Source organism: Homo sapiens, chromosome X (assembly GCF_000001405.40).
Source record: "Homo sapiens chromosome X, GRCh38.p14 Primary Assembly".
Taxonomy (NCBI): domain Eukaryota; kingdom Metazoa; phylum Chordata; class Mammalia; order Primates; family Hominidae; genus Homo; species Homo sapiens.
In genome coordinates this window covers 9,745,830-9,773,714 of record NC_000023.11, presented here as the reverse complement: position 1 = coordinate 9,773,714, position 27,885 = coordinate 9,745,830, and the positions used below count along the sequence as shown (strand labels likewise).

Genomic DNA, 27,885 nt, shown 5'->3' with positions numbered 1-27,885 from the left:
TTTTGGTAGAGACAGGGTTTTGCCATGTTGCCCAGGCTGGTCTTGAACTCCGGAGCTCAAGTGACCCACCCGCCTCGGCCTCCCAAAGTGCTGAGATTATAGGTGTGAAGCACCACTCCAGGGCAATTTTTCTAAAATTCAATGAAGAGTCAATTTTGTTTGTAGATATGACGAAAAAGTATATGTGTGTGCGTGTGTGTTTATGTGTGTGTGTGTGTGTGTGTGTGTGTGTGTACTTTCAAAGCCACTCCAAAGAGAGCAGATTTATGTAAAAGTGTTTGCTTTTAATGGGCCTTGAGCGTTTGTCAACTGAACTCAAGTACATAGCTAAGCATCAGGTCTCAAAATCATTACATTCCTTTTGTGGATGTTGGAAATTTTCCTTAAAAACTTTTTCTCCTTTTGAGCTGAAAAGTCCAAATATCACCAAATAGGATAAGGTGAACTGAACTGAAACTCTGACATTCTTATAAAGAAATGTAGACAAATGTCTTTAGGCAGACAGATGTCTTTAGGCAGGCAAATGTGAGAACGATTCTCACCATGAAGGCGTGTAGAATTATGCATGCTTTCTTGCACATCAGAAAAAGCACGCGATGTGAATTTACATGTAAAACACCGTACTTGATGTTAATTTAAATAAACATTGAACTGTCTTTAATAGTCTGTACTCGTCCATTTATTTGTGGCTCTGTTGTGGTAGTCATTAAACATTTAATAGCATCAACCACTCATACCACAATCAGCTTTTCATATCTGTCTTGTTTCCTTTTCTTTCTACTTGCTGTTTATTCCATCACAAATGCCAGTTTCAACTCTGAGCTATATGAAAATTGTTACTTTTGGCATATTTACTCCATCAGACTGTTATCAATGTCTTTTTTTTTTTTTTTTTTTTTTTGAGACAGGATCTTGCTCTGTTACCCAGGCTGGAGTGCAGTGACACTATCACGGCTCACTGCAGCCTCAACCCTGGAGGCTCAAGCAATCCTCCCGCCTCAGCCCCCAACAGCAGCTGGGACCACAGGTGCATGCCACCACACCTGGCTAATTTTTTTGAATTTTAGTAGAGATGAGGTCTCACTATATGTTGTCCAAGGCTGGTCTTGGACTCCTGAGCTCAAGCAATCCTCCCACCTCAGCCTCCCAAAGGCATAAGCCACTGCGCCCAGGTCAGTTGTTCTTTTTGAAATAGACGTGTTCTGCCAAATTTAATTGTGAATTGAAAATTGAATCACTGTGAAGCAAACCCTGTTTTACTTTCCATTTTCACCTTGTTCTCACAGTTAACAACTGACTAGTTGACTTTTACGGAGAAAGCATTTAAAATGGAGTGTGATGAGTTAGGAGGTTAGCCATGGATAGGTCCATGGGAGGGCAATGTGCTACTCACTTGGGCAAGAGCTTCTCCTGGGAGTTTATCACAATACTGGCTTCCTATTTTAACAGACCAGGATGGAAATGCTCCCTTAAGTTTCAATAGGAGAAAATTGTCAGGACATCCTATTTTTCAACACAAATCGCGTATTTGCCTCTCTCAGTCCTTATCTGTTGTCTTCCTCTTCCCTTTCTTTTCCTCCCTGCGTCCTGACTTCTGTCCCAGGTTAGTCCCAAACACATCAGAATCCAAGAGGAAGGACATTGCTCACCATTCTCCGACTAATGATTCCCTCCTTGACTCATCCACTGTGTTGAGAATGCTCCAGCCGGGCGCGGTGGCTCATGCCTGTAATCCCAGCACTTTGGGAGGCCAAGGTGGGTGGATCACCTGAGATCAGGAGTTCAAGACCAGCCTGGCTAACATGGTGAAACCCTACCTCTACTAAAAATACCAAAGTTAGCCAGGGGTGGTGGCACGCATCTGTAATCCCAGCTACTCAAGAGCTGAGGCAGGAGAATCGCTTCAACCTGGGAGGCGGAGGTTGCAGTGAGCCAAGATCACACCACTCTATTGCCACAGCCTGGGCAACAGAGCAAGACTCCATCCAAAAAAAAAAAAAAAAGAGAGAGAATGCTCCATGGCTTAGTTGGATGCTAATCAATTTTACTGCATCTATTTTGAACCAAGTCCTCCATAAATTCAAATATGGCCTGGGAGTTTTCTTTGCTTTTCAGGATAAGATACAAGCTCTAGGGTCTTGGCACTCAAAGTAGGAGCCATAGGTCAGCAGCAGCCATGTCTCCTTGGAGAATGTAAGAAATGCAGAGTCTTGGGCCCCACCCCCAGAAACCCTGAATCAGGATTTGCCTTTCCACAAGATCTGCACGCGAATGCACAGTAAAGTTGAACTAGTACCATTCTCAGGCCTGATGCCACTTCACATGTCTCCCTATTTAAAAAAATGTACAATTTGGTCTGGGTGAGGTGACTCAGGCCTGTAATTTCGGCACTCTGGGAGGCCAAGGTGAAAGGATGGCTTGAGACCAGGAATTCGAGACCAGCCTGGGCAACATAGCAAGACCTCATTTCTACAACATTTTTTTTTTAATTAGCCAGACATGATGGTGTATGCCTGTGGTCCCAGCTACTCAGGAGGCTGAGGCGGGAGGACTGCACCACCATGCCTGGCTAGTTTTTGTATTTTCAGTAGAGAAGGGGTTTCTTCATGTTGGCCAAGCTGGTCCTGAACTCCTGACCTCAGGCAATCTGCCCACCTTGGCCTCCCAAAGTGCTGGGATCACAGGCATGAGCCACCGCACCTGGCCTGTGTTCTTCATTAAGGTCTGGTGACACTACCTTATTTATTGGACACAGAATCTATACCATTGCTCAATCAACTTGCGTATGTTACTCATAAACTCCTGTTGAATTGCACTTAAATGAAAGGCAAAGATGCTGTTGGTCATCTGGTGGACCCAAAAGAGGGCTGTGGCTGGAGCAGCTGAAATCCTTTCTCAGGAAGAGCAGCTATCTGAGCACAGAGTTTAAGGCACATTGTGTGTCTATAAGGACTCTAGGAGTGAGCACAAAAGCAGGGTGAGGCAAGGAAGGAAGAAAGCAAATTAAGAGCAGTGCCATTCATGAACTGGCCACAAGATTCCCAAGAAACCCAGCTGGTTACACAGGAACATATGAAACCACTCCTCAGAAACCTCCCTAGGAAGGAAGGGTGAGCAATACATCTGCCAGTGACTTCCTGCTTCCTCTCTCATTGGAATAAGTTTGTCTGCCCCACTAAGTGTTAATCCTCCTCCATTTCTCGGTTGTTGCCCAGCCTTTCAAGCAGCTGCTAGATAAGCCAGAGCCTCAGGTGGTAGACTTACAGGAACTGCAGCCTATGGCCCTTTGCCTGTTTTGTAAATAAAGTTTTATTGGCACACAGCCATACCCATGGACTTATGTATTGGCTGGTCTTCCTCTCTCTCTCTCTCTCTCTCTCTCTCTCTCTCTTTTTCTTTCTTTCTTTCTCCTGTTCTTGCTCTGTCGCCCAGGCTGGAGTGTAGTGAACTCCTGACCTCAGGTGATCTGCCCGCCTCAGCCTCCCAAAGTGCTAGGATTACAGGTGTGAGCCACTGAGCCCGGCTTTTTTTTTTTTTTTTTTTTTTTTTTTTTTGACTGGGGGAGGTGGGGGACAGGGTCTCCCTATGTTGCCCCAGGCTGGTCTTGAACTCCTGGGCTCAAACAATGCTCCCACCTTGGCCTCCCAAAGTACTGGGATTACAGACATAAGCCACTGCACCTGGCCATGTTTTGTCTATATCAATTTAAGTATCAGTAAAACCCACTTGGAAGGCTCATTCTGAATATTAAATGAGATAATGAATGTAATATTCAAAGCATAGTGCCTGCCTACACTCCATAAATTATTTTATTATTTAAATCTTATTTATTAGGCTGGGCGCAGTGACTCACGCCTGCAATCCCCGCACTTTGGGAGGCTGAGGCGGGCGGATCACCTGAGGTCAGGAGTTCGAGACCAGCCTGGACAACTTGGCAAAACGCCGTCTGTACTCTAAATACAAAAAATAGCCAGGTGTGGTGGCAGGCGCCTGTAATCCCAGCTACTTGGGAGCCTGAGGCAGGAGAATCACTTGAACCCGGGAGGCAGAGGTTGCAGTGAGCTGAGATCGCACCACTGCACTCCAGCCTGGATGATATAGTGAGACTCCATGTCAATAAATAAATAAACAAATCTTATTTATTATTTAAATTCAAATTATTGTGAATGGCAGTCTCCTTACTTAGGCTGTTTCTGCCATCCATCTGCCCCTAGCCACCTCCTCTACTGGATTCTAAGGGATATCTGAGTCTCACCATAAACCCCATTCTTTTGGTTGAGACATCTCGATGTCAGGGGACTCACCATGAAAAATAAACTGCCTGGGAGAGAAACTCAGGAACCGTCTTCCAGCAGTTGATCAAGTGCATCTGATCAAGTGGGAATGGTGGGTAAATGGTGGATTGTGGAATGAGAGAAAGCCAAGATGATGGAGCATTTCCAGGGAACAGATGCCCCAGGCAGCCCAAACTGTGAAAATGGAGAGCGAATTCAGGTGCTAAACTGGGAAGGAGGGAAAAACGGAGGAAGGGTTCATGCAAAAACAGATGTACCTTCATGTACTCAAAGACCGATTGTTTCTGCACACATACCTCAAAGTTCATATTCAGCACCGCCATCCCTGTATCTCCCATATCTACGAAACTTCCAGATGTTTCTGCCTCCCAAGTGTGTGCGTGTGTATTTGCTTCACTTTTCTCAGATTTGTAGTTGTACTGTTTCATGAAAAGTTTTGTCAGGCCAGGCATGATGGCTCATGCCTGTAATCCCAGCACTTTGAGAGGCCAAAGCGGGTGGATCACTTGAGGCCAGGAGTTCAAGACCAGCCTGGCCAACATGACGAAACCTATCTCTACTAAAAAGACAAAAAATTAGCTGAGTGTGATGGCATGTGCCTGTGGTCCCAGCTGCTCAGGAGGCTGAGGCATGAGAATCACTTGAACCCAGGAGGCAGAGATTGCAGTGAGCTGAGATCACGCCACTGCACTCCAGCCTGGGCAATGGAGCAAGACTCTGTCTCAAAGGAAAAAAAAAAAAAAAGTTTGTCATCTCAGTTCACCCAAGCTGGAGTTTGGTGGTGCAATCACAGCTCACTGCAACCTCAAACTCCTGGGCTCAAGTGATCCTCCCACCTCATCCTCCCCAGTAGCTGCAACTACAGGTGCGCAGCAGCACGCTCTGCTAATTTGAGATGTGTCGTCTTCCTCTAGGGACAGCAGGACTGGCCTTCCCTTGGGACCCCACAGAAGGCAGGCAGGAGGCTCCACTGCCAGACAGGAAGCAGAGCCTTATTTAACAACAATGAGCTGCAAACTCCACCACTTCAAAAGATGCTGCTCCTAGAGGAAGACGCTAGAGATGGGCTCTCACTATGTTGCCCAGGATGGTCTCAAACTCTTGGGCTCAAGTAATCCTCCTGCCTCAGCCTCCTTAAGTGCTGAGATTACAGGTGTGAGCCACTGGGCCCAGCCTCTCATACCAATTTCTAGTTCCCTCTCACTTTGATGACAGGGTTTTAAATTTAGTCTTACACTCATGCTTCTGCACCTTTACTCTGAGGCTCATCTTTACCATTGTCATCTGTGCCATGGCCCTAGGAATCTGCATTCATATCCATTTTCTCACTGATGAGATTCTGACTACTGAGCTTGAGTAGTGGGCACCAGAGTCAGCCAGAGCCCCCTGGAGAGTACTCCCAGGTTATCACGTAGGAAGCAGAGAGGCGGAGTGTGTTTTCTGGGGCATGAAACAGTGACTCAAATGCAGGGACCCCTTTGCCTGGCCCACTGGCCCTCAACCTTCAGGCAAATGTACAGACACTCTTCATTTTTATCTTTTAAAGCACTTTCCATTACACTAACCTCCAGAAGCAACTCTGCTTACCAAGGCAGAAGGAAAGAGAGCCACTGTCCAAATTAGATATTAGAATTCAAGCTTTTAAACATTAATGCTTGGGGAGTAGTTCTATGGTGCTTCTGACTGTTTTTACAATGGAGTGTGTAATCCAGCAGAGCTGTTAAGCTTTCTGAAGATGTCAGTCTGTTCTGACTTCTAGGAAGGCAGCTGTGGAGTGAACAGGCTGCGTTTATAGACGTGCCAGATCTGGACTCTTTTGAAGTGGTGGAGTTTGCACCTCATTGTTGTTAAATAAGGCTCCGCTTCCTGTCTGGCAGTGGAGCCTCCCGCCTGCCTTCTGTGGGGTCCCAAGGGAAGGCCAGTCCTGCTATCCCTAGAGGAAGACGGCACAGATCATGCCTTCCTTAAAACCGCAAAGCTGGTGGGGAGAACAAGTGAGGAAAGTCCATGAACACAATGGGGACACCTGCACCTTGGTTGCTTGAAAAAAACCCAGAGAGGGGCCCATTTTACCAGGAGAGAGGAGGAAGGGTGTCTCTTGTGTGGTCACAAAGAGCCAATGAGGTTTGTTGAAGATGATAAATATGATGGAGCTGGATTTTTTTTTCTTTTCTTTTTTTAAAATAAAGGCCATAATCTAGAAGGAGCACTTCTATTTTCAGCCTTGAAGAACTTAAAAAAAAAAATCTTAGTATGCTTACTGTAATCATTAACACAATATTACTTGGAAACTTACATGTATAGAATAAAGCAAGATTTTCAATGTATGAGAAAACATAGAAAAATTAACGCAGTTAAGAAAAATCCAAATAAATAGAACTGAAAGTTAAGGTGCAAAATGTGTCTGTGTGTACTTATGCTGAGTACTTTTCCCTTTATTTTTTTAATGTTTTTAAATTTTAAACTTAATTCTGTGTGTGTGTGTGTGTGTGTGTGTGTGTGTGTGTGTGTGTGTGAGAGAGAGAGATAGGGTCTCACTCCATTGCTCAGGCTGGAGTGCAGTGGTGTAATCTCTGCTCACTGCAACCTCCACTTGCCGGGCTCAAGTGATCCTCCCACCTCAGCCTCCCCAGAAGCTAGGGCTACAAGCACGCCCCACCACATCCAGCTAATTTTTGTTTTGTTTCGTTTTTTGATACAAGGTCTGGCTCTATCGCTCAGGCTGGAGTGCAGTGGCACTATCTTGGCTCACTGCAAACTCCACCTCCTGGGCTCAAGCGATCCTCCCACCTCAGCCTGCCGAGTAGCTTGGATCACAGGCCTGGGCCACCACACCGGGCTAATGTTTGTATTTTTAATAGAGGTGGGGTTTCGCCATGTTGCCCACGCTGGTCTCCAACTCTTGAGCTCAAGCGATCTGCCTGCCTCGGCCTCCCAAGGTGCTGGGATTACAGGTGTGAGCTACTGCTCTTTCTTTAACATTGATCTGTTTGTTTCATTCATTAATTGTAAACGAAAATCCTGCCTCTGTGGGATTATATCCATGAATGAGAGAGGCCATAAAAAAAAGCACTAATTGGACAACCATCTCTACTTAGGAAAAAAGCAGTTACAGGGATCAGTCACAGTTTATGAACATGTTCTGGCGCCTTAAAGGCATCAAAATCAGGATGTCAGAGTCCCAAATAGGAAAGATCTAGTCCACGAGGCCTGTTTCTCTAGAAGACCAGTAAAGATGGCAGGTTTGGCGCTCTAGGTGGCAGAGAAACCACCAGGAAGGCTTGGTGAATGGGGAGAAAGGTAACCTTCCCAACCTTTCTGCTTCTCCTTCCACTTCCCTCCTCCTCCTCCCTCTTCCTCTCCTCTCAGCCCTCCCTCTCTCTGTCCTCCTCCTCCGCCCGCCCAAGCATCACCTCGTGAGGCCTCGTGGCGTTAGCCCAGTGCTCTCGGCCCCCACCGAGCCTGGCTCTACTGCAGGCGCTGGGGGTTGGGGTGGGGGAGAGGCCCAGGGCACATGATGCCGCCCCCAGCCCGCCCAGCACATGACCCAGGCAGGCCGGCGGGGTCCTGGCACACCCGAGCCGCGTCCGCGAACACAGCCCATGGCCTCCCCGCGCCTAGGGACCTTCTGCTGCCCCACGCGGGACGCAGCCACGCAGCTCGTGCTGAGCTTCCAGCCGCGGGCCTTCCACGCGCTCTGCCTGGGCAGCGGCGGGCTCCGCTTGGCGCTGGGCCTTCTGCAGCTGCTGCCCGGCCGCCGGCCCGCGGGCCCCGGGTCCCCCGCGACGTCCCCGCCGGCCTCGGTCCGCATCCTGCGCGCTGCCGCTGCCTGCGACCTTCTCGGCTGCCTGGGTAAGGGCGCGCGCGGCCCGCGGGTTGGAATCTGATCAGCGCCTGGGTGAGGGCGCGTGGCCCGCAGGTTGAGACCCGACTGGTGCCCGGATAAGGGCGCACGGCCTGTGGATTTGGACCTGTTCCGTGATGGAGTGAGGACGAGAGGCCCGCGGGTTGGAACCTGCCCGGTGCAGGGCTGAGGGCGCGTAGCTGGCTGGTTGGGACCTGCTCGGTCCCCGGCTGAGGGCTTGAGGCCCGCGGGTTGGGACCTGCTCAGTGCTGGGGTGAGGGCGTGAGGCCCTGGGGTTGGGACCTGCTCAATCCCCGGGTGAGAGTGCGTGGCCCGCAGGTTGAGACCGGATCGATGCCCGGGTGAGGGCGCATGGCCCGCAGGTTGGAACTCGATCCACTCGGGTTGGAACTTGATCGGTGCCCGGGTGATGGCGCACGGCTAGCGGGTTGGGCTGGCCGTCTTAACACTTGAACCACAGAGAAAAGAGAAAGCGGAGGCTGTTCCCTAGGGACCGGATGGGACAACTAGGTAATTTTTTTTTTTTTTTTTGAGACGGAGTCTTGCTCTGTCGCCCAGACTGAAGTGCAGTGGCGCAATCTCGGCTCACTGCAACCTCCACCTCCCGGGTTCAAGGGATTCTCTTGCCTCAGCCTCCCGAGTAGCTGGGGGAGGCGCGCGCCACCATGCCCGACTAATTTTTGTATTTTTAGTAGAGACGGAGTTTCACCATGTTGGCCAGGCTGCTCTCGAACTCCTGACCTCAGGTAATCCACCCGCCTCGGCCTCCCAAAGTGCTGGGATTACAGGCGTAAGCCACCGCGCCCGGCCGACTAGGTAGTTTTGCAAACACATGGTCGGTAAAATTCCCATCCAAGGGACGTTGGGTTTTAAAAAATCCGTTTATTGTGTTTGTTATATGGAAACTTCAGATGGCGCAGTTAAGCAAAACCCAGACCAGAAAAGATTTCCTCATTTTTGCCCAACTGCACCAGGGAGAGACTAACAATTAACTTCTCTCTGTCTCGCTCTGTGTGTGTGTGTGTGTGTGTGTGTGTGTGTGTGTGTGTGCGCGTGTGTAAATTCTTTTCTATTGTGCACTATATATTCTCTCGAGTATTTTGTAAGCTGAAATCCCTTCCCTATCCAGGCTTTTTGGGTATGGTTTTTACACCACAGGTGCGCAAACTGCAGCCCTCAGACCAAATCCTGCCCGTTTTCTAGGGTCCACGAGCTAAGAATGGTTTTACATCCTACTTTTTAAAAAATTAATGATTTTGTTTTTTGAGACAGGGTCTCACCCTCTTGCCCAGGTTGAGTGCAGTGTCACAATCACAGCTCACTGCAGCCTCGACCTCCTGGGTTCAAGCGATCCTCCCACCTCAGCTACCCGAGTAGCTGGGACTACAGCCACACGCCACCATGCTAGGGTAAATATATGTGGGGTCTCACTATGTTGCCCAGGCTGGTCTCCAACTCCTGGGCTTAATTAAAAGATCACCACCCTTGGCATCGTAAAGTGTTAGGATTACAGGCGTGAGCCACCTCACCCAGCCCTAAAATGTTTTTAAAAATCAAAATTAAAAAATATTTCCTGGCATGTGACTATTACTGAAATTTAAATGTTAATGTCTACAAATAAAGTTTGATGGGAACGCAGCTATGTTGTTCATGTGCATTTGTGAATTATTCATGGCTGCCTTTACCCTACAAGGGCAGGGTGAATATTGGACTGAGAAAGTATGGCTCCCAAAGCCAAAAATATTAAGAATGAGTTTGCCAACATCTGCTTTAAACTATTATGTGACACTTTATACAGACCTCTCAGCTAGATTTGGCCATTCTGTTTAGCTTTTTGGAACATTTCCACCATGCGTAAATGCAGTCTATAATAGAAACACTTACAGTGAATCCCTGTACGTGGGATTCGTGAGGTACGGGTACCCGGCTCATCTGCTCCCCTCTTCACCCTCCTCACTGGATTAATGTGAAGCCAATCTCAGGCTCCATCATCCTGCCCATTCAGATCTCAGAGAGAGCCCTAAAACATAATAATTCTAAACATTTGCAACCCCAATATCATTATCACTTTATTTTTGAGACAGGGTCTCACTCTGTTGCCCAGGTTGGAGTGTGCTGGCATGATCATAGCTCACTGCAGCCTCGAACTTCTAGGCTCAAGGGATCCTCCTACCTCAGCCTCCTGAGCAGCTGGAACTACAGGCATGCATCACCACACTGGCTAATTTTTGCATTATTTTTTCAGAGCTGGAGTCTCACCATCTTGCCCAGGCTGGTCAAACTTCTAGGCTCAAGCGATCCTCCTACTTCGGCCTCCTAAAGGTGCGGTGGCTCACGCCTGTAATCCTAACTACTCAGGAGGCTGTGGTGGACGGATTGCTTGAACCCAGGAGTTCAAGACTAGCCTGGGCAACGTAACGAGACCCAGGCTCTACCCCCAAGAAAAAAAAAACAACAAAAAAAAGGCCCGTCATGGTGGGATGCACATGTGGTCCCAGCTACTCACCAGGCTGAGGCAGGAGGACCATTTGAGCCCAGGAATTCCAGGCTAGAGTGAGCTACGATCCAGCCTGGGTGACAGCCAAGACCCTGTCTCTAAAAAAGTAAGGTGTACCCAAACATCTTTTGAGGGTTAGTGAATAATACTTGCATATCCTTTAGCCTTTAGAAGGGAAGTGGATGAGGTTGCGAGCAAATAAGCAGAAGTCAGGAAAAGGCTGGGTGATCGGGACCCCTTACTGAAAAATAAGAAATTTCAATGCCCATGGGATAGGGCTTTTATTAAGCTCAAAGGAGTGATAAATGCTGAAAATTCTAAGGCACCGTACAGAAGAAAGGCATTGTTTTTGTTGGCAGTGGCTTGATAATGAGAAGATGTCTTGAGCTTTTTAGTGTTCACAGTTGTCGTTTAGTAGTGTATTACATAGTGTGTGTTTAGTGGTATATTACATGGTATGTGTTTAGTAGTATATTACGTAGCATTTGTTTAGTGGTGTATCGCATGGTGTGTGTTGCATATTATATGGTGTGATTTTAGTAGTGTATTGCACAGTGTGTGTTTAGTGGTGTATGGCATGTTTACCAGTGAGCACTACTACATAGTATGTAGCTTGGTGTTGTTTACAGTTCTCCCCTTTATATTACCTAGCATACTTTTTTTTTTCTCAGATGGAGTCTCACTCTGTCGCCCAGGCTGGAGTGCAGTGGTACAGTCTTGGCTCACTGCAACCTCCACCTCCCAGGTTCAAGCGATTCTTGTGCCTCAGCCTCCTGAGCAGCTGGGATTATAGGTGCCCACCACCGTGCCTGGCTAATTTTTGTATTTTTAGTAGAGATGTGGTTTCCCCATGTTGGCTAGGCTGGTCTTAAACTCCTGACCTCAGGTGATCCACCCACCTCAGCCTCCCAAAGTGCTGGGATTACAGGCGTGAGCCACCATGCCAGGCTCTTTACTTTTCTTTTCTTTTTGACACAGGGTCTCACTCTGTCGCCCAGGCTGGAGTACAGTGGTGCGATCTCGACTCACTGCAACCTCCGCCTTCCGGGCTCAAGCGATTCTCCCACCTCAGCCTCCTGAGTAGCTGGGACCACAGGCGCGTGCCACCACCTCCAGCTAATTATTGTATTTTTGTAGAGATGGGGTTTTGCCAGGCTGGTGTCATCTCCTGGGCTCAAGTGATCCGCCGGCCTTGGCCTCCCAAAGTGCTGGGATTACAGGCGTGAGCACCGCGCTCAGACCCTAGTGTACTTTTAAACAACGGATATTGCATTACCTAACAAAGAACCATAATATGTACCATGAGTGTGCATACTGTTTTGAGGATATTAGACATTTGGGTCTAATAGCAAGAGAAACTCACAAAGAATAAATGTTAAAGGCAAATTATTGAGAATTAATTTGTGAAAATTTTAAATGTTGTGTTTAAAAAAGAATGAAGGAACTATATATTCAAACTTCTAAATTGTGCTTTTTGAAAAATTCTTTTTTATGTGAGGAATAACTAATATGGCCACTGAAAATGCAGCCGAGAAATCCAGATTGCTAGTCACATATTGCAAGTAAACCAACAGACAAACAAAATAGGGATGAGACTGTGGCCAACTATGGTTTGCGTTAAAGTGCCTGCGTTTGTTTTGCTACCATAAGTTATTTTCTGAGTTTCAGGCCAGGCGCGGTGGCTCACGCCTGTCATCCCACTTTGGGAGACCAAGGCGGACAGATCACTTGAGGTCAGGAGTTTGAGACCAGCCTGGCCAACATGGTGATACCCCGTCTCTACTAAAAATACAAAAATTAGCTGGGCGTGGTTGTGGGTGCCTGTAATCCCAGCCACTCGGGAGGCTGAGGCAGGAGAATTACTTAAACCTGGGAGGCGGAATTTGCAGTGAGCAGGGTTTTTACCACTGTACTGCAGCCTGGGTGACAGAGCCAGACTCCGTCTCAAAAAAAAAGATAAATAAAAAATAAAAATAAAAAAAAGTTATTTTATGAGTTTCAATCTTCTTTTTCTCTCTCTGCACACACAAATATGTATGTTTTTTCTTCCTTTCTTCCTTTTCCCTCCTTGTCTTTTTCCCTCCCTCTCTCCCTCCCTCCTTTCCTTCCTTCCTTCTTCCTTCCTCTCTTCCTATCTCTATCTATTATGTATCTATCATTTTTCCAAAGCAAGAAGTCAGCTTTATATTTGATTAGGATCAGATACAAAGTATTATCCAATTCTCTCTTAGGTATGGTGATCCGGTCCACCGTGTGGTTAGGATTCCCAAATTTTGTTGACAGCGTCTCGGATATGAACCACACGGAAATTTGGCCTGCTGCTTTCTGCGTGGGGAGTGCGGTGAGTCCACCCCCTCTGCATGCCCTCTCCTCCCTACTTATGCTCCTCAAATCGCAGCAGCAGCAAACCCTGGGAGTCTGTTAGAAATGCAGGTTCTCACGTCCTGCCCCATCCTGCTGATCAGGAACCCAGCCCTCTCTGTTTTAACAAAACCCTCCAGGGGATGCTGCCCAGACACTCAAGTGTTGTTTCTCCCACCTCTTCACAAATGCATCCTCCGCTTACATGGGGCCACGAGCAAAACCAGCTGGCACAGAAAAAGTTATCAATCCATTGGATGCATTTTGTATAAATATATACATAAATATATTAAATAAAACATACAAGCCGGGCACGGCAGCCCACACCTGTAATCCCAGCACTTTGGGAGGCCAAGGCAGGTGGATCACTTGAGGCCAGGAGTTCCAGACCACCCTGGTCAACAGGGTGAAACCCCGTCTCTACTAAAAATACAAAAATTAGCTCGGCGTGGTGGTGTGTGCCCATGGTCCTAGCTACTCAGGTGGCTAAGACAGGAGAATTGCTTCAACCCGGGAGGCGGAGGTTGCAGTGAGCCAAGATCGCGCCACTGCACTCCAGCCTGGGTGACAGAGTGAAACTCCATCTTCAAAGAAAAAAAATAAAACCACATAATTATATATAAACAAATTATTGAAAAAGTAAATAGATATCATATATACACAGACACACATACACATGTATGTTATGCTCCATCCGTCACGGTGGTGCTCAGGTGAGTGATTTGAAGCACATTCCCTGATGCTGTGTTGATTGCCCTGTGCTGGAGCAGAATTGCCAGTTTCCTTGCTTCCCTGTCCTCAGTGGCTTCCTAACTGCATCTATGGAGGCTCTGTCTCAGCCCGCAGTGGCGAGACATCTTGACCTTGTGTCGTTTCTAACACTGGAGTCCCCTTACTCCATCTTCTCTTTGGAAGGACTGCCTGAGTCCCTCCTCCCCGTACTCATTCTTCCTCAGAACAAGAGCTTCTATCTAGTTCAAAGCCCCCTTGAGCCTGCACCTCAGTTTAAATGACATATCTTGGAACTTCATCCTCCCTGCATACAAGTGGAGCAGAAGGCATAGTTCCTTAGTCAAATCTGAATGCCTACACCTATCCCAGGCCACACCCTCCTTGGTCCCAGGAACTGTGCCCACTTGTGTCCCGAGAGCTGTCACGTGCGGCTTCCTGACGTCAGAGGAAGCCAGTGTCTACCCTGCCGTCTCAAGGATGGGCTGGGCTTCTTGTACCTGTTTCCAGACATTTTGATGCAGGCTCTTCCCGATTGCAGATGTGGATCCAGCTGTTGTACAGTGCCTGCTTCTGGTGGCTGTTTTGCTATGCAGTGGATGCTTATCTGGTGATCCGGAGATCGGCAGGACTGAGGTATTCACCGAGGAAATGGGATTTCTGCCCTAGTTCTATTTTAGAGGGAAGATAAGAGATGGCACTGAGCGTTTAAAAGTATTTTGCAGTGTTGCAGACACCGTCATTCAGAATCTGTCAGCTGGCCCCTCCGCCTAGAAACATCCACAGCAGCTCATTTTTATAAGAGGCCAAAGGCACATTTAAAATATTAGCCAGGCACAGTGGCTTGTGCCTGTAATCCCAGCTACTTGGGAGGTAGGAGGATTGCATGAGGCCAGGAGTTTGAGACCAGCCTGTGAAACTTAGTGAGAGTCCATCTCCAAAATAATAAAAGAAAATCTTGAGGATTTTAAAAACCTTGAAAGCAAGTAATTCAATAAATGAAATATTTGGAACTGGACAAATACTAAAACAGAATGGGCATGTACATAAACAATTTTATTGTTTATTTTTTACTTTTTAGAGGCAGGGTCTCGCTTTGACACCCAGGCTGGAGTGCAGTGGTGAGAGTATGGTTCACTGCAGCCTCAACCTCCCAGGCTCAAGCGATTCTTCCACCTCGGCCTCCTCAGTCTGTAGCTGGGACTACAGACATGTGCCACCAAACCTGGCTAATTTTATTATTTTTGTAGAGATGGGGTCTTGCTATGCAGCCCAGGCTGGTCTCAAACTCCTGGCTTCAAGTGATCCTCCTGCCTCGGCCTCCCAAAGTGCTGGGATTACAGGCATAAGCCACTGCATAAACAATTTTTTATTATATTTAAAGGTTCAAAGGATGTATATATTGACACTTCATGCTAAATCTGGAACCTGAGAATGCCGGGGCTGGAGGTGGCTGCTTGGCAGGGAGTTACTCAGTGGCTAGTATCTGGGGCACTGGTGTGTTTGAACTGATGCCCAGTCACTCGTGAGCTGTGTAACTGTTGGCGAGTTGTTTAACTTCTCTGGACTTCTGTTTTCTCAGCTGTGAAATGGTACCCACCACACAAGGTCACTGTGAAGAGTAAATGTGATAACCCCTGTATATGGTTAAGAACAGTCCTGAAACGTTGCCAGCTCTTGATACCTATCAGCTGTTACAGTAGGTGGGCTGCACATGTGTTGAGGAAACATCCACATAGAAAGCTGAACTGACACAGAGAAGCTGGATGTGGCATGGCAGGGCTCCAAATCCAGGAAGCATTTGCCCCCACCAAGTTCATGGTCCACTTGATTCAGGTCCCCTTTGAAGGGAGCCCCTCCTTGCCTGTTTTTTGTTCTGGTTTTTGTTTAAATACAGCTTTGTAGGCCAGGCACAGTGGCTTACACCTGTAATCCCAGAACTTTGGGATGCTGAAGCAGGAGGACTGCTTGAGCCCAGGAGTTTTGAGACCAGCCTGGGCAATACAGTGAGACCCATCTCTACAAAAAATAAAAAAAAGATAGCCAGGCATGGTGGGGTGCAACGGTGGTCCCAGCTACTCGGGAGGCTGAGGTGGGAGGATGGCTTCAGCCCAGGAGGTCAAAGCACATGATCGTGTCACTGTACTCCAGCCTGGGCGACAGAGTGAGACCCTATCTCAAAAAACAATAGAAACAAACAACAACAACAACAAAAAACCCAGCTTTATAAAGGTCACCTGTTTAAAGCCTAAAATCCAGTGGTTTTTCGTGTATTCACAGAATTGCATAACCATCACCGTTATCGATGTTACACCATTTTAATCATCCCCTCTACATCTCTGTGGTGGTTATTAGTCACTCCTCACTGCCCCCTCCCCACAGCCCCCAGCAACCACTTATCTACTTTCTGTCTCTGTGGAGCTGCATGTTCTGGACATTTCATAGCAATGGAATCATACAGTACGTGACCTTTCGTGTTTGGGTTTTTAACTCAGTGTAACATTTTCACGGTTTATCCGTGTTGTCACATGTCTGTGCTTCATTCCTGTTATGGTCTGAATGTTTCTGTCCCTCCAAAAATTCCTGTATTGAAATTCTAACCCCTAAGGTGATGGTATTAGGAGGCAGGGCCTTTGGGAAGTTATTAGGTCATAAGTGGGATCAGTGCCCTTGTAAAAGGGGCCCCAGAGAGTTCCCTCACCCCTTCTACCATGTGGGGACACAGCAAGAAGGTGCTATCTATGAACCAGGAAGCAGGGCCTCACCAGACATCACATCTGCTATACCTTGATCTTGGACTCCCAGCCTCCAGAGCTGTGAGCAATAATTGTTTATAAGCCACCTAGTGTGTGATATTTTGTTATAGCAGCCTACATGGACTAAAACAACCCCTTTTCATTGCTAAATAATATTCCAGTGTAAGGCTATACTACATTTTGTTTATCCATTTATCAGTTGATGGACATTTTGTGTGCTTCCATTGTTTTGACTACTTCCATTGTTTGGCTACTAGGAATAATGCTGCAACTGACATTTGTCTGCAAGTGTTTGTGTGGACATATGTTTTCATCACATATTCCTGAGTATATATCTAGGTGTGTAATTGCTGAGCCATGTGGTAACTCTAGGTATAACCAGGTAAGAAACTGTTAAACTGCTTTCCAAGGTGAGTGTACCATTTTACATTCTAGCAGTAATGTGAGGGTTGCAGTTTATCCACATCCTTGTCAATACTTGTTATTATCTGTTTTAATTTTAGCCATCCTAGCATGTGTGAATTGGTAGCTCCTCATGGTTTTGATTTCACTGATGAGTAATGATGCTAAGCATCTTTTCATGTGCTGATTGGTCATGTATATATCTTCTTAGAGAAATATCTATTCACCTCTTTTGCACATTATTTCATTGGGCTATTTGGTTTTTTATTATTGAGTTGTAGGAGTTCTTTATATATTCTAGATACAAGTAGCATATTACATACGTGATTCACAAATAGTTTCTCCCATTCTGTGGTTTGTCTTTACACCTACTTGATGATATCTTTCAAAGCACAGAAGTTTTTCATTCTGATGAAGTCCAATTTTTCTATTTCTTTCCTTGATTTCTTATTCTTTTGTTGTCATATCTAAGAAATCATTGCCTAACCCAAGGTCACAAAGATTTAGACCTATGTTTTCTTATGGTTTGAATGCTTAAATTTAGGTCCACTTAGAATTTTTGTGCACAGGTGACTAATGGGTCCATCTTCATTATTTTGCATGTGGATATCCAGTTGTCCCAGCACCATTTATTGAATAAATTTACTTTTAAAGCCAATATCAGTAAATAGAGATCATATGTAGGCTATAGAATATATTGGGTAATCCCAGTAGATCCCCGCTCTAAAATCATTGACATTCCTTATGTAGATCACATCATCAACTTTGGTCTCTCTGGCCTGAAGTTTAGTGCTTACTTCATTTTTATGCTTGTTCCTTCCATCTTTTTACCTTAGCTCCCAAACTCTTACACATCTGAACCAAACTGAGATATGCCTGGTTGTGAAAATTCTCCAGGGAAGATAGTCAAGGTCAGAGCCAGCCAATTAGGTGTATCAGTGAAGATTCATTTTGGCTACATAAAATATATATAATAATAATGACTTAAACAAGGTAGAGATTTCTCTTTCATGCTAAAGATGTCCAGAGGTAGGCAATCCAGGACACTTGTGATGGACATCAGGGACCCAGGTTCCTTTGATTTTCCTGCGTCACTATCCTATCGTGTGACTTCCATCCTCAAAGTGTCATGGCCCAATATAGCTGCTGGTGCTCCAGTCATCACACCTACATTCTGGGCATCAGGAAGTGGGAAGAGAGCAATGCAATGCAATAGAGGCCTGTGTTCCCCTGAGCCAGCTTTAAGTAGTGTCTTGGGAGTTTCATACAATGCCAGTTACATATTATCGGTCAGAAGTTAGTTTTTTTTTTTTTTTTTTAGATGGAGTTTCACTCTTAGTTTCTTTTTTCTTTTCTTTTTTTTGAGATGGAGTTTCACTCTTAGGGTGAAAAAGATAGAGTTTCACTCTTTTTGCCCAGGCCAGAGTGCAATGGCACGATCTTGGCTCACTGCAACCTGCACCGCCTGGGTTCAAGCGATTCTCCTGCCTCAGTTTCCCACGTAGCTGGGATTACAGGTGCCTGCCACCATGACCAGCTAATTTTTGTATTTTTAGTAGAGATGGGGTTTCGCCATGTTGGTCAGGCTGGTCTCGAACTCCTGACCTCAGGTGATCCACCCGCCTCGGCATCCCAAAGTGTTGGGATTACAGGCTTGAGCCACCATGCCTGGCCAGAACTTAGTTTCATGCCACACTTAGCTGCTAAAGGAGGTAGGAAATAGACTCTGTGAGCCGAGCATGCAGCTGCCCTCATGACATCCAGGTTATGTTACTGAGGGAAAAAGGAAATATGGCTTTGAGTAGGTAATCAGCAGTGTGATACAGCCATGGCCCTGCAGCTCTCATGATTGGCATGTCTCTGAGCATCCCTCAGTGTTGGAGAGGTCGGAGGTCTGACACAACTGTAGGTCTTATAGATGCCAGTTATGGGTAGAAGAAGCGTCTCAGAGTGCTGGAAGGAAGCTGGGAGAAAAGTAATGCCCTCTGCTGCCATAGAGGATATATTACTTCACCTCCACCCACGGTGGGGATGTGGGGGAAAAGGGATGGGGTCCCACAGGGCAATCTGAGAACTGTCTGGACCCAGAGGACAGACAGGGCCCTGAGAAGCTGGGACAGGCAATCATGAAGCCCTCCTTACCCCAAGGATAGTATTTGGGAGTTCATTTGGAGCTCAGTGATCAGAAGGCAGGATGTTGGGACCAAGGGTCTTCAGCCAGTGGGGGGCGCAGGCTTCTCCTGATCTGCTGTGGATTGGGGTTCAGACTTCTGCCCCGGTGTGGGTTTCAGAGGCCCAGCCCGAAGTCAGGGTCTGGAATGCAGAGATTCTGCACTCTCAAACACCCAGCCCTTTGCAGAAAGCCTCTCCGTTAGTTATCTGAGTCTCATACAGAGCTTCTGGTTCCTGGCCCACATTGCTGAGACATACCCCCAACCCTCACCCGCTCCCAGCCCAGCCAGGCTAGGGAAGAGCCATGCCAGGAACCAGTCACAGTGTGGGAGGCAAAACATGCTGGAAGTGTTTCTTTTCCTCCCGAAGCTCTTTGGGCTTGTTTCTTTCCTCTTGTCTCATTGTAGAAGGGTGTCCTTTCTCACTCAGATCCCTTTGTCTACACAGCTGATCTTCCAAGTTGAAGTCCCGATGGGGTGGGGGTTGTGATATTTGCCAGGAATCTGGTAGGGTTTTGAGTGACAGCCATGCATCCCATGGAGCTCCAGCCCCCTACCCCACCTCGTCCCATCAGACAGGAGAGGCAAACCCAAGACTGGATGGCACCAGTCAGCTCTGCAGAGCTTCCATCTTCAGTCTTCCTGCGGCATCTGGAAGGCTGCGGCCTCAACTCCTGGGGGAAACGGGGTGGGGTGTATGGAAGTACAAAGATGAAAGCTAGAGACTGTGCAAGAATGCCAGCTGTGCAGGGAATGGGGAGGCGAAAGGCAAGTCCCCCGCTCTCCTCTCGGGAAGCATGTAGTAGCTGCTGTTTCTGCAGAGACAGCCTTCCCAGGTGGGACTGAGCATTCAGACTTGGCTATTAGGTGTGGAGGTGACTCTGGAAGGGCTTGGGGATAGGAGCTCCTTGCTTATCGGGTGAGCCAGGTATTCAGGAGGCATAAGGCCTCTCTCGCTGGGGGGCTGTGAGGGCCCACACAGCTGAGAAGGAACCCCACGTTCATGTCCTTCTGTTGGGAAACCTCAGGTTCAGGTTTGCTGCAGATCCACCTGGATTCGCTTCCATGCCAGAGGATCAGGTAGGAAAAAGCAAACCAGACAAGCCCAAGCACAGCTCCTCCTCCCTTTCTGACATCTCCATAAAAAACTTTGCAGTCACAGCCATTGGCTGATTTCTTCTCTAAGCTATCCCCTCATCTTTTATAACTGGGTTTTTTTTTTTTTTTTCAGATTCTGTTTTTTTCAATTATTTTTATTTTTATTTATTTATTTATTTTTTTGAGACGGAGTCTTGCTCTGTCGCCCAGGCTGGAGTGCAGTGGTGTGATCTCGGCTCACTGCAACCTCCACCTCCCAGGTTCCAGGAACTCTCCTGCCTCAGTCTCCTGAGTAGCTGGGACTACAGGCACCTGCCACCACACCCAGCTAATTTTTGTATTTTTAGTAGAGATGGGGTTTCACCATGTTGGCCTGGCTGGTCCTGATCCACCCGCCTTGGCCTCCCAACGTGCTGGGATTATAGGCATGAGCCACTGCGCCCGGCCTTTTTCAAGTTTTAAGGTTTATCTTGTTGCAAATTTTTTTTTGAATAGATGAAAAGAGCCCTTCAGTAGGTTATCAGACTTACACTTAAACTGACATGGTCCTGTGGCCCACAGAGGCTTCTGTGACCCAGTCCTCAACACACGGCGCTCCCTCTGTCGTCTCTCACCCTCCCCACTCCAGCCACGCCCAGCTCCCAGCTTCTAGAAGGCGCCTGTATTCCTTTTTTTTTCTTTCTTTCTTATTTTTAATAGCTGCATCTCACTCTGTCATCTAGGCTGGAGGGCAGTGGCATGATCACAGCTCACTGCAACCTTCAACTCCTGGGCTCAAGCAATCCTCCCGCCTCAGCCTCCTGAGTAGCTGGGGCTACAGGTGTGCACCTCCAGGCCAGGCTGCAGCTCACATTCTTTGACTTGTGGCCTTTTCCTCCATCTTCAAAGCCAGCAATGGTGGGTTACGTCCTTCTCAAATTCCCTCCTCTCTGGTTCTCTGCAGCTGATAGTCTCTGCTTTTCTGGATTCTGGCAGTTACATTGGCCCAACCCAGATAACCCAGGATGACTTCCTTATCTCAAACATCCTTAACTTCATCACACCTGCAGAGTCTCTTTTGCCATATAAGGGAACATATTCACAGGTTCCAGAAATTAGGACAGGGACATCTTTAGGGAAATGTATTTGGGCTATCACAAGTGTTTATCCACTCTAACTTATAAACATAGTCTCTGCCAGGCATGTTGGCTCATGCCTGTAATCCTAGCACTTTGGGAGGCTGAGATGGGAGGATTGCTTGAGCCCGGGAGTTTGAGACAAGCCTGGGCAACATAGCAAGACTCCATCTCTACTAAAAATAAAAATAAAAAAGTTAGCTGGGTGTGGTGGTGAGTGCTTGTAGTCCTAGCTACTTGGGAGCCTGAGGCAGGCTTGAGCTCAGGAGTTTGAAGTTACTGTGAGCTATCATTGTGCCATTGCATGCCAGTATGGGTGACAGAGGGAAACCCCATCTCTTAAAACAACAACCACCACAAACATAGTCTCATCTTTTAGATTAATCACAGCTACGAGCCTGACTTCATGTAAAATCTTCTCCATCCAGCTATGGCCTCTGGGGCTGGCCCCCAGCAGGGGCACAGGCTGGAACATTACACTGATTCTTCTATGTCATCCTCTCAAGATGGTCACTCCCATGCAGGCAGGGATTCTGTTTTTTGTGCCTAGAACAGGCATGATCTTTGCTCAATAAACATTCAGCCAATGTACACTGAGTGAGACATACTGCGCTGATACAACTCTGTGATTCTTTTAGTTGAGACGTAACTTAAATACTGTAATATTTGCCCTTTAAACGTGTGCAGTTCAGTGGCTTTTAGTGCCATCTGCAAGGTTATACATCAGTTAGCCTCACTATTACTAGTTCCAGAACATTTCTACCATCCCAAAAAGAAACCCTGTACCCATTAGCAGCCACCCCCATGTCTGCACAATCACACAATATGTGCACCCTTTGTGTCTGGCTTTTCACTCAGCATTGTTGCTGAGGTTCACCCATGGAGTAGCATGCATTAGTACTTCATTCCTTTCAACTCGATATTACCTTCGCACGTGCTGACAGCCATCTTGTAGGTTAAGGGTGTGGGAAGTGTTTCCTATCACTGGCCCCTCTTCTGTAGAGAATGTGCACCGGAAGGGAAATCCCAGAGTAACAGCGCTGATGGTCCAGTACATGTCTCCACCTCCCTGAGCACAGGATGCTGGTAAATCCCATTGCTGGGGCCGCCTGATTGTCCTCAAAGTGAAGACAGCTGGGCATCCAGGGCAAGCCCAGCCTTGTAGGAAAGTGGAGGTGGGCGGGGACGGCCAGCCTGCCCTGGAGGGCAGCGTAAGTAGCAGAAAGCAGCCAGGCCTGACGTCCACCTGGCCCCTTAGCGTAGTGGCACAGGAAGGCCGCAGAGGGTTTCCGTGTTCACCCAGCTGAGAGGAGCAACTCACGGCTCTGAGAAGTGGGTCTGGCCGAGGTGATGCAGCTAGTTAATGTGCCAGCTGTTTGCATTCGGTTCAAACCTGTTGAGCCTCAGAGCATCCTCCTGGGATGAGGCTGTAAGAGGAGTAAGTGGGGAGGCTGGGAGGAGCACCTGGCGAGTGCTGTGCCCGTGAGGTGCAGTCTTAGTCCGTCCAGGCTGCTATAACAAACATCACAGACTGGCGGCAGCTTATAAATAGCAGAAATGTATGGCCGGGCACGGCGGCTCATGCCTGCAATCCCAGTACTTTGGGAGGCCAAGGCAGGTGGATGACTTGAGGTCAGGAGTTTAAGACCAGCCTGGCCAACATGGTGAAATGCTGCCTCTACTAAAAATACAAAAATTAGCCAGGTTGGTGGTGGGCGCCTGTAATCCCAACTACTCGGGAGGCTGAGGCAGGAGAATTGCTTGAACCCGGGAGGTGGAGGTTGCAGTGAGCCGAGATTGCACCACTGCACTCCAGCCTGGGTGACAGAGCAAGTCTCCATCTTGAAAAAAAAAATGCCATCTGACCCAGCAACTCCACTCCCACGTATACACCCCAAAGAACTGAAAACAGGAACCCAGCCAGGTGCAGTGGCTCATGCCTGTAATCCCAGCACTTTGGGAGGCCAAGGTGAGGGGATCACTGAGGCCAGGAGTTTGAAACCAGCCTGGGCAACATAGTAAGACCCATCTCTACAAAAAAAAAAAAAATTAGCTGGGCATGGTGGTGCATGCCTGTGGTCCCAGCTACTTGGGAGGCTTAGGTGGGAGGGTTGCTTACGCCTAGGAATTGGAGGCTGCAGTGAACTATGATTGCATCACTGGACTCCAGCCTGGGCCACAGAGTGAGACTCTATCTCAAAACAAAACAGGAACTCAAACAAATACTGGTACATAACACATGTTCATAGCAGCCCTACTCACAGTAGACAAACAGTGGAAACAACCTAAATGTCCATTGATGGGTGAATCTTGGCCCATGTATACAATGGAATGGTATTCAGTCAGAAAAAGGGAAGAAAGGGCCGCCGCTATGGCTCACGCCTGTAATCCCAGCACTTTGGGAGGCCGAGGCAGGGGGATCACTTGAACTGAGGAGTTCAAGAGCAGCCTGGCAACATGGCATAACCTCATCTCCACAAAAAAATACAAAGAAATAGCTGGGCATGATGGCGTGTGCCTGTGGTCCCAGCTACTCAGGAGGCTGAGGTGGGAGGATTGCTTGAGCTCAGGAGACAGTTGCAGTGAGCCGAGATTGCACCACTGCACTGCAGTCTGAATGACAGTGCAAGACCCTGACCCCTAACCCCTACAAAAAGAGGAAAGAAAGGGCACAGTGGCTCATGCCTATAATCCCAGCAATTTGGGAGGCCAAGGTGGGAGGATTGCTTGAGATCACGAGTTCAAGACCAGCTTGGGCAACATAGCAAGATACTGCCTCAACAGAATATTAAAAGAAACAAGGGAATGAAGAAACTGATCCATGCTACAACGTCAGTGAACCTGGAAAGCATTATGCTGAGTGAAGGAAGCCAGGTGCAGAAGGCCACGTAGCATATATTTCCATTTACATGAAATATCCAGAACATGCAAATCCACAGAGACAGAAACTAGATTAGTGGTTGCTAGGGGCTGGGGGATGGGCAAAGGGGAGTGACCATTTATATTAGCCTCTTCTCACACTGCTATGAAGAACTGCCTGAGACTAATTGATAAAGGAAAGAGGTTTAATTGACTCACAGTTCAGCGTGGCTGGGGAGGTCTCAGGAAACTTACAATCGTGGCAGAAGGCCAAGGGGAAGCAGGACACCTTCTTCACAAGGCAGCCGAGCGATTGGGGGCCGGAGGGGGTTGGGGGGGGAGGGAAATCCCCTTATAAAACCATCAGCTCTCGTGAGAACTCACTCACTATCACGAGAACAGCATGGGGGAAACCGCCCCCATGATTCAATTACCTCCACCTGGTCATTTCCGTCCTCCAACCACCTAACCAATTGATTTCCATCCAACAGTGATTAGTTCAACTTGTTCTATCCCTTGGGATTTTGGAGATTACAATTCAAGATGAGATTCAGGTGGAGACACAAAGCCTAACCATATCACCAATTAATGGATATGGGGTCTCCTTTTGGAATGATGAAAACATTTTGGAAGGAGACGCTGGTGATGGCTGCAGAGCATTGTGAATGTACTAAATGCCACTTTGTTGTTCACTTTAAAATAGTTAATTTTATGTGATGTGAATTTCACCTCAATGGAAAACAACCAACCAACCTCAGCAGCACGAGGAAACTCTTTGCCGAGGGGCTTTCCTCTGTGTACATTTTCCTGACCTTTCCAGAGCGCAGGAGCTGGCCTGGCAGTTCCAGGCAGGCCTCTGTGCCCCACTGAGCTGTGGCTGCTGTTGTGCTTGTCCCCTAGCACCATCCTGCTGTATCACATCATGGCGTGGGGCCTGGCCACCCTGCTCTGTGTGGAGGGAGCCGCCATGCTCTACTACCCTTCCGTGTCCAGGTAAGTTGGGACTCCAGCGCCCCAGGCAGCCCCATCCTTGGCTCATAATGTGTTGTCTTGCAGGGAATACATGAGCCCCGACCCACAGAGTGGGTGCCTTGGAGGTTAGGCCGTTGTCTCAGGGCCACATGAGGCCATGCTCACGGCCCAGCCCCAGAGGGCTGACTACAATAGCTTGGAGAATGACCCTGGAATCATTCTCCCTGGCTCTGCCTTTCTCGTTTGTGTGCATAGGCACCCATGCACACAAGCATGTAGGCAAAGCTTTCCGCATATTTCCCTCCACGTAAGGTGTATTCCCAGCCCCTGTATTGGTACAGTTTTCTCATGCCCACTCTTAAGTATTTGGTCTTCAAGCTTCCTCTGGATGAGCAGGTGAGCTTAACATTCTAGGAATGAGTGTAGGATAATGTGGAAGAGGCCATAAGGATCCCTGGGCAGAGCTTATTCTCTAGCTTTGCTTCCTACGCTTTCTCACTTCTCTTCTATCCTCCACACAGAGGGAGATGTGGCCGCTGGAACTGTCTCAAGCATTTCCTCAAGTTTACATTCCTGTCCATGCAACCCTCAGTTGCAAAGCCAAGGTCTTTCCAAGGATATATACTCTAACTTCCAATGGAAAACTGGAAAATGGAAGTGGACAGTGTCTTTGTCTGTGATTTTTATACCAGGGATCAACACAGTGTAGCCCTCAGGACAAATCCGGCGTTCTTCCGTTTTTGTAAATAAAGTTTTATTGGAATATAGTCACACTCATTTCTTTATGTACTGTCTGACTGCTTTTGCATGACAACATCAGAGTTGAGTAGTTGCCTCAGAGACCACAGTGTGGCCCATGAAGCTGAAAATATTTACTATCTGTTCTTTTACAGAAAAAAAATCGACAGAAAAAAATTGGTGTAGATAATTTATCTCCCTCTTCTCTTGCTTCTTGCGGCTACTCAGTGAGGATGTCTCCAAATTGGTGTTGCCTTGTCAACCATGAATACAAGCAGGGAGCTCTGTATAGATCCATCCATACATTCTGCTTTTCTGGGGAACTTTAAAAGGACAGATGCACTGTCAGCAGCTGTTATAACGGAATGCACTTAGTTGGAAAGGGAGTTTCTGTGACTCTCCCTCGCCTGTGGGACCCCGGAGACTCCTGGCAAAGTTGCATCTGAGCCTTAGGGTGCCATTGCTGCAGGGCGCACAGGGAGCCTTGAGGTGCTCCCAGGGTCTTTAGGAGCTGTACCTTTTAAGCATCTTATCCTTAATCATCTCTTCATTTTCACAACGCCTGACCCAGGGCGCTCGGTGTTCTTCATGCTCACAGTCTCACTCTCTTATTTGTCATTTCCTTTCTGTCTTTGCATCGGAGTCACTTCTCTTTCTCCTCTTGTTTCTCTTTCTCCTTTCAAGCCTTTCCAGATTGAATTTTAGCCTCTACAGCTAAAGATAAAACCGCCTGTTAAAAGAAAGTGGCAGCGTTGAGAGGTGGTATAGTAATTCTTCCTATGGCAAGAGGAGACGGGTATTGCATTTTTCCCACCTGATTTTTTTTTTTTTTTTTTTTTTTTTTTTTACATTTTCTGCCACTTTCCCCTCTGGTTTGACAACTCCGTCAATATTAAGGGTGTTTAATTTATTTTTTGTCATTCCCCCTTCCGTGGCCATGAGGCTGTTTGGTTAGCCCCTTTTCCACCTCCCTCTTTGGTTGAGCTGGAGCAGACCTCCCTCCCCTTTGCCTTCAGTTTCCTCTTCCTCTGTGCCATTTTGCTTCTCTCCTACATTAAGCATTTCGCAGCTGAGAGTTGTTACCTTGGTAACATATGTTTGTGAGGCCCTCCAGCACATTCTGTGGTGACCAGTGACTCCTATGACCCCTCAGTAGAAATCTTTGTCCTTTTCTCTGACAAGAACCTCTGAAACTATTGTTATCCATAACCATGAGAACACATTTCCTCTGAAATATGCAGCTGGCATATTTTGAGTTGTTCAAGCCCAGGGACAAGATTTTATTCATGTTATTGCCCAAAACCATGTAGTAAGTACTCAAAACCTCACTATTTAATGGAGTGCCTTTGTCTCTACTTGAATTGCGTTTTTTCCTTGAGACCCAGTGCAGGGAATCCCCCATCCCAGGGTGTTTTTCTTTCCGATCTTTTCCCAGCAGGAACCTTTAAAAGCTTCCTCCAGTGGAATGCCTTAGGGGTCCTCCCATTTCTGAGACAGAAACATGGTTGATCTCCCTTACTCTCCTGCAATTTATGGCTTGTTCCAGACATGAGAAATGACTCACATTTCCTTTGGGCAGTCAGCAGCAGATTTATGCATTTCCCTTTTTGTTCTCATCCTCTTATCTTGACTTCCAGATAAGTAGATGTCTTTTAGCCAAAACTTTGCTTTTGAGAAGAATGACTTTGGTTTTCCTCTCTCAGGTGTGAGCGGGGCCTGGACCACGCCATCCCCCACTATGTCACCATGTACCTGCCCCTGCTGCTGGTTCTCGTGGCGAACCCCATCCTGTTCCAAAAGACAGTGACTGCAGGTAAATACTAGGGAAGCTCTCTGGGTACACGGCCACTGGGAGCGGCCCCATGCCTCGGGCTCAGACAGTGACACATGTTGTCCTGGAATTCTCCAGGACAGTTGACCTCATTTGTCATCCTCCAGAGACATCAGCAGAACACAGCTGCAGAAAGTAAGCAGGTTCAATAAATGAAAATGTGCAGGCCTCTGCCCGCACAAGTTCTGTACCATCG

At 47.5% G+C, this 27,885-nt stretch overlaps 1 protein-coding gene across 3 annotated transcripts in view, besides 1 other annotated feature; it reads left to right on the top strand.

The window, feature by feature from the left end:
- Nucleotides 1–27,885, top strand: part of GPR143 (G protein-coupled receptor 143) — a 53,257-nt gene that overhangs the window by 4,888 nt on the left and 20,484 nt on the right. For 2 of the 3 annotated variants that reach the window (NM_000273.3, NM_001440781.1), the window contains exons 1-5: nt 7,868–8,147; nt 12,889–12,998; nt 14,289–14,383; nt 25,049–25,141; nt 27,562–27,671. In NM_000273.3, the coding sequence (NP_000264.2) occupies nt 7,898–8,147; nt 12,889–12,998; nt 14,289–14,383; nt 25,049–25,141; nt 27,562–27,671 (658 nt within the window). In that variant the 5' untranslated portion in view covers nt 7,868–7,897. Of the gene's footprint in view, nt 1–7,867; nt 8,148–12,888; nt 12,999–14,288; nt 14,384–25,048; nt 25,142–27,561; nt 27,672–27,885 lie in introns of those variants that run through there. The other variant, XM_024452388.2, reaches the window with a different exon arrangement.
- Nucleotides 8,461–8,962: an enhancer, noted in NCBI's record as "H3K4me1 hESC enhancer chrX:9732793-9733294 (GRCh37/hg19 assembly coordinates)". NCBI's record gives its function as "activates a minimal SCP1, AML or CMV promoter by ChIP-STARR-seq in primed H9 embryonic stem cells {active_cell/tissue: H9 hESC(primed)}" and the evidence as "EXISTENCE:reporter gene assay evidence [ECO:0000049][PMID:30033119]".